This window comes from Homo sapiens, chromosome 15 (genome assembly GCF_000001405.40).
Source record: "Homo sapiens chromosome 15, GRCh38.p14 Primary Assembly".
In the NCBI taxonomy this organism is placed as follows: Eukaryota; Metazoa; Chordata; class Mammalia; order Primates; family Hominidae; genus Homo; species Homo sapiens.
Window position 1 is genome coordinate 74061361 of NC_000015.10, and position 6908 is coordinate 74068268.

Below are 6908 nucleotides of genomic sequence, written 5' to 3' on the forward strand. Positions count from 1 at the left end.
GGAGAAATGTTGGAAACTATACAACCACATGGAGATGAAATAATATGCTCTGGAATGACCAGTGGGTCAATGAAGAAATTAAGAAGGAAATTGAAACATTTCTTAAATGATAATGGAAACACAACATGCCAGAACCTATGGGATACGACAAAAGCAGTACTAAGAGGGAACTTTATGGCTATAAACACCTACTTTTAAAAAGTTGAAAAGCATCAAATAAACAACAATGCACCTTAAAGAAATAGAAAAGCAAGAACAAAGCAAACGCAAAATTACTAGAAGAAAAGAAATAATAAAGATCAGAGCAGAAATAAATGAAATTGAAATGAAGAAAAAGCATCAATGAAAAGAATAGTTGGGTTTTGGAAGAGATAAATAATGTTGACAAACTTTTAGCCTAAGTAAGACTAAGACAAAAAGAAGACACAAGTGAATAAAATCTAAGATGAAAAAGGAAAATTACAACTGATACCGCAAAAATTCACAGGCTCACTAGTGGCTGTTATAAGCAATGTATGCAAAGAAATAGGAAAACCTACTAAAAATGGATACATTTCTAGACACATCCAGCCTGCCAAGATTGAACCGTGATGAAATCCAAAACCTGAACAGACCAATAAGAAATCATGACATCAAAGCGGTAATAAAAAGTCTCCCTGCGAAGAAAAGCCTGGGACCTGGTGCTTCACTGCTGAATTCTACCAAACATTAAAAGAAGAACTCATACCAACCTTACCCAAACTATTCCAAAACTAGAGGCCTTACCCAACTATTCCAAACTCATTCTACAAGGCTAGTATTACCCTGATACCAAAACCAAAGATACATCCAAAACAGAGAACTACAGGCCAATATCACTGATGAATATTGATGCAAAAATCCTCCACAAAATATTAGCAAATTGAATTCATCAACACATTAAAGTTGGGGTGCAGTGTCCCAGCTTCACTCAACCCTTCCCCTTTTCCTGTGATCCCAGGTGGCTGTGATCCCAGGTGGCAGCGGTGGCGGCAATGTTGGGGTGTGGGCCTCCCAGGACAAGGGGAATGTGAGTGTGCCCTTCTCTTGCCTCCTGCCAGGCGTCTGTAACCTGGCACCAGCTCTGGCCAGGTCTTCAAGTAAGGGACCTGGAGATGTTCTTTTCCAATTTCTGGATTGGGAAATGGAGACAAATTCTGGGTACTAGAGTCAGAACTAAGATGAGGCTGAATCGGGAGAGTCTGGGGTCCTGAGAGGCCGAGACCTGAAACCCTCTAGATCGTGTGGGGAGCTGGGTGTGTGATCTGGCCAGTTGTTTCTCCCTGTGCCTCAATGTTCCAGGTACCCTTGGAGGGACTGAGATCCTGGGGATGCCTGGAGCCTGGCTGCATGGCCTGGCCGCCCTGATGCCCTCGTGCTCTCCATGGCAGGCCAGCAAGGCTGAGGAGAATGTCTCCGACAGCTTCATGCACTCCATGGACCCACAGCTGGAGCAGCAAATGGAGACCACTCAGAGCCTGGTGGACTCCTATGTGACCATTGTCAACAAGACCGTGTGGGACCTCATGGTTGGTCTCACGCCCAAGACCATCATGCACCTCATGATCAACAACGTGCATGCACCACCTCATGGGGGCAGGGGCTCCTGTAGCACTGGGGACACAGGTGGCCGTGTTGGCCTGGCAGAGATGACAACCAGCCCTATGGGACCAGGTGCAGGGAGAGGGGCACGGTCCAGACCAGAGCTGTCCCATAGAACTATAACGTGGGACTGGGCACAGTGGCCCATGCCTGTAATCCCAGCACTTTGGGAGGCCAAGGCGGAAGGATCGCTTGAGCCCAGGAGTTTGAGACCAGCCTGGGCAACATAGTGAGACCTGGTCTCTACAAAAAAATTTTAAAAATAGCTGGGCCTGGTGGTGGCACGTGCCTGTAATCCTAGCTACTCAACAGGCTAGCCTTGGAGGATCACTTTGAGCCAAGGAGGTTGAGGCTGCAGTGAGCAGTGATCTCACCCACTGTACTCCAGCCTGGTGACAGAGCGAGATCCTATCTCCAAAAATTAAAAACTGAGTAGACAGGTGTCCTGGTGGCATGATAGGTCCTGGGTCCCCTCCCAGATCTGTGACCTTGGGCAGGTGACTTTTCCTCTGGACCTCAGTGTCCCCATCTGAGTGAGAAAAAGCGGTGGGGAGGTGGGTCTTCGAGTCTAAGCAGTGTAGAAGCCGCATCTGAAAAGCCATACCCGGGGCTCCAAGTCCAGCGTACAGCCCCAGCAGGACCTGGCGGCGTGGCCAGGGTGGCACAGGCATCAGGTCCCAACCTCCTTCCCTCTTTGCCCACTCTCAGACCAAGGAGTTTATCTTCTCGGAGCTGCTGGCCAACCTGTACTTGCATGGGGACAAGAACATGCTGATGGAGGAGTCGGCAGAGCAGGCACAGCGGTCATGAACACAATCAGCACGCCCACGGGGGCCCATGGACAACTCCTGACTGCAGGTGCAGAGCATCCTACTGGATGCAGGTACCAGGGCTGGCCCCCACGGCCCCAAAGCCCCCCAGCCTCCATGGCTAAGACTGTGGGCTCTTGGAACAGGCTCCATGCCCAAGTTGGCAGATGTGGGTGCTCTCTAGAGTCCTCGGAGAGGGCAGAGAACTCATGGTTTATGGTGTAGGGGCTGGGAATGTGGAGGGCGTTGTGTGTGGGGCTGGACTCTGAGGCGGCCAGAGGCCTAGGAATGTCACCTGGGCACAACATAACTGTCGTGCAGTCTGAGTCATGCTGCCAGGGCAGGGTATCCAGTTCCCAGTCTGGGAGTGCCGAGAGCCAAATCCACTGTAGAGCAGGGGTGATAGTCAGGGTCCCACCTCCTCTATCTGTTGGCAATCCAGTGGTGATCCTGGATAAAATCTTGAGAGTCCCATACACATGGTCATCCCACAACACACCTCACAGGCCAGGCAGGAACACACAGCCCCCTTCCCTCCCTCCCAGGTACCACCATAGCTGCTAGCGTGTGACTGAAGGCAGGGTCCCTGGCCCCTGCTGAAACACTACCGCCAGCCAGCGGGCTCATTCACCTTGGCCTGTTGCTCTTAGGGGTCACCTGTGCTATTCAGCCAAGGAGACCACAGTCCCTGCTGGCCCAGCTGAGCTCCACATAGCCAGCCCACCCACCTCCCCTGCCACAGACTCTCCCTCTTCTGCTTTTCCCAGCAGGAGGGGCCCAGGCTCACCTATGCAACCTGCAGGCCCCCACAACCAGCTGAGGCTCCCCTCTTAGACTTATAAGTCTATGGCCAGTGGCATATGCCCTTCCTGCCTCCCCCAGGGTCCTTTCAGAGGGTCCTGGGCTTTCTGACCACCCAGAGGGGCCCCTGGCACACTCCAGTCCAGCCATCCCTTTTAGCTTCACCATCCTGGGTCAAGCAGTGTTCCTTTTCTATCAGGCCTGGTGGCTGTTGGGTGGGGCTCCCCAAGGTGAGAGGTGGCCTTGGGCCAGTGGGTTGGAAGGGAGGGGGCTGAGCATTGGTCTGAACTGTGGCTGCACTGCCTGGGTGCCGTGGGAGAGGCCAGTGTGTGTGGGCTGGGGAGGGCCGCCGCAGCCCCCAGGCACTACCTGTGAAGCTCCGGCTCCTCCCTCCATCTTCCTCCCCTTTTCCTTCCAGCCTCTCTTTTCCAGGAACCTTGCCACACCTGCACCTGCGTCCTCCCCTCCCCGGCCCTCCCACAGCTGCTGCAGCACGCCTGTGCTCTGTGCTTGCCTCACCAGCTCTCTGCTCACTTTTCTCTCTCCCGTTTTCTCTTTGCTTTCTCTCCAACTGCCAGGTGATCAGGTCAGGCAAGTCCATCCTGTCCTGAGAGCCCCAGGTTCCACTTTGACCTCTAAACAGATCCTCCTCTTCTCGGAGGCCTCCCTTTCCAAGCCTGCCTGGGCGGGTGTCCTGTGACTTGACAGTGGCTCCCCAGCCCCAAAGCCAGCCCCCTTCATCTGTGACTTAGTCTGTCGTAGTGGTGAGCTGACACATCCAGGTGTGACCCTTGCTGAAAACTTGTGCCCCCTCTGTGGTATGCCCCTGCCCTGTTCTATAAATATCTATAAATACTCATATGTATATATACCTACACATGGCTGACCGCCTCGCCTCTAGCACTGGGAATCTGTCACCGTGCTGTCCTTGTGGAGTCTTGTGGCCCAACAAGACGAAGGTCTCCCCTGACACTGCCCCTCCAAAGTGTGCCACCTCCAGTGAGCCTCCCTGTCATGTCCGGCCTGTGGACAGCCAGCCCCCGCCATCCCTCCCACCCCCCACCAAGAATGGGGGTGCTGTGCAGGCAGCTGTGTGGCCTGACAGTCTCTACCAGTCCTGCTGTCCCTCGGCTGAGAATCAAACCCATTTCTGGATGATGGGGAATGTGTCCTCTGCTAGCTGTGTTCTCTGTGGAGTGCAGGGGAGGGAAAAGGCCAAGCCATTTCTAGGGTGCTGTTGGGAGGAGTGAAAAGGCCACACACCCTTTCCAAGGGACACTTTTCCTGGAAAGCCCCTGGAGCTTAGCTGGCTTTTATCCTGCGAAGCCGGCTCTGGCCACTAGGGGGCAGGGCCATGAACTCAGCCTGGAGGAGCCTGCGGGGCAGCCAGCACTAACAGGCCACCAGGTACACTGGAGGGACAGACAGAACAGGCCACCGGGTGCAGACAGGCGAGGGAGGCAGGGGGATGGAACGGAAGATGCCTGGGGTGGAAGTCAGTGCCCTTGGGTGCTGGTATTTGTCTTCCCGGCCACTGCTACATCAGGCTTCTGAGGCTGTTGGCTGTCAGGGCGGGACTGTGCCCTATAGGCGCCATGGCAGTCCCTGTGAAATCCACCAGGTGTCACCAGGCAGCATACAGGTAACAGGCCTGGAAGGTCCCCAAGAGCCCAGCTGGACATGCTCAGACACTCTAGGGCTCCTCGTTCAGTGGCACAAACTCCAGGACCCAGTGAGGGACACGGGAATCCACCAGGCTGAGCAGTATGGCTAAATCCATTTACTCCAAAATGAAAAGCAAAATAAACGGGAGTCACATCACCAGGGAGCCACAACCCCATCCCCGCCTCCTTCCTCTGTCCTATGCTATCAATAAATAAGTTTCCCAGCCACAAATAGTGATTAGAACCTCCTCCTCATATGCCAGCTCCAACCTCCTCTAGGTACAATACAGGGGGTGGCCCTACCCCCTGGAATATACAAAATGTCACACAGATACTATATGTACACTGCGGAAGGGGGTCCACCCCAGCAGCCTGTGCCCTCACCTGCTCTACAGTTAGCCCCACTGTCCCGCCTCAGCTGCCTCTCTGAATAAGAAGATGGGAGCCCCCTGAGGGAAAAGTTGCTTCGGTGAGAGTAGGGAGGCCATGAGGCCTCCTCCAAACAAACCAGCTCTACCAGCCTCTGGCTCTTAAATAATAATCATCATCATCCAGAAATTTAAGGACTCAGCCCTGGTCAAGGTGGCAAAGGGTCTGTTTTTCTCCCCCCATTAGACAGGGGTCTTGTCTTGCTACCCTAATGGTAAAGGGGTGACTGGGAGGGGGTGGTAGGAGCATGGTAGGGACAGAGACTCCAGCCCCACTTCTCCAGGCTTATGCTGACAGGGGCCTGCTTTTATTTATTTTTATCCCATGACTTATTTTTTAATCCCATAATTTCTTTTTCATAATACTTTAAGCTTTTTTTTTTTTTTTTTTGAGATGGAGTCTTGCTCAGTCACCCTGGCTGGAGTGCAGTGGCGCGATCTTGGCTCACTGCAAGCTCCGCCTCCCAGGTTCACGCCTTTCTCTTGCCTCAGCCTCCCGAGTAGCTGGGACTACAGGCGCCCGCCACCACGCCCAGCTAATTTTTTTTTTTTTTTTTTTTTTTTTGTATTTTTAGTAGAGATGGGGTTTCACCATGTTAGCCAGGATGGTCTCGATCTCCTGACCTTGTGATCCACCCGCCTCGGCCTCCCAAAGTGCTGGGATTACAGGCGTGAGCCAGCAAGCCCGGCCCTTTTTTTAAGCTTTTCATAAAACTTTTACGTTTTTTCCACAACTTTTTTTGCCACAACCTTTCCACAACATTTTTTATCCTGTAACTTTTTCATCCCACAACCTTTTTTATCCCATAACTTTGGTTTGTGTTCTTCAAATAAACACACTTCATGGTTACATTAAAATTTTATAAAAATAAAAACCGATTATCTCATGCCAAGCGTGCCCAGCATTTGCACAGTCTCAATACCTTTAACACCACAGTTTTCAAGACACACAAAATTTTAAGGCAAAAACAGCACTTTGCAACAATTTAATAATTTATTACATTACAGTAGCATCACAGTAGCAGTGAATAATGCCACTTTAGGCAACAGTGTTTCAGTATTTCCATTATACATTCTGTTTACAAGAATTCATAAATTGGTAAAAGTCATTCTAAGAAAACTTGGCAAATAAAGCTTTGCATTGGAATTGGCATTTCTTTCTCTACTTTTCCTTCCCCCAGTTTCTTTCTTTTAAACTACAGTATTCATATTTTAAAATGTCTTAACTTATTTTAAAACTTAAGATAGCAGTTACATTTTTGAATAGTTATATTCTTTTAAAATGACTCTTTAAGATAAAGTTTTAGAGAAACTATTATGGATAGGACTGATTTACATTTTCACATTTTCTAAATATCAGCTTTGGTTTTAGAACTGACTTTTTTTCATTTCTGGAAAACCTATCAGATTTAATCAAATACTTTAAAAATGATTATATATTGCAATCTTTAAATCGGTTTTTAATTCTTTACTTCCTACAGAAATTCAAATTTATTCAGTTGAACCCACACTTTAAAATTCTATGTTTCTGATTAAACTCTACCCTTCTAATGTTGCCTTCTAAGCAAATTGAACGCTGCCTTATA

At 50.1% G+C, this 6908-nt stretch overlaps 1 pseudogene, besides 1 other annotated feature; it reads left to right on the forward strand.

Annotated features, from left to right (window-relative positions):
* On the forward strand, positions 2329-4395 carry DNM1P33 (dynamin 1 pseudogene 33; annotated as a pseudogene).
* Positions 4178-4679: an enhancer, noted in NCBI's record as "H3K4me1 hESC enhancer chr15:74357879-74358380 (GRCh37/hg19 assembly coordinates)". NCBI's record gives its function as "activates a minimal SCP1, AML or CMV promoter by ChIP-STARR-seq in primed H9 embryonic stem cells {active_cell/tissue: H9 hESC(primed)}" and the evidence as "EXISTENCE:reporter gene assay evidence [ECO:0000049][PMID:30033119]".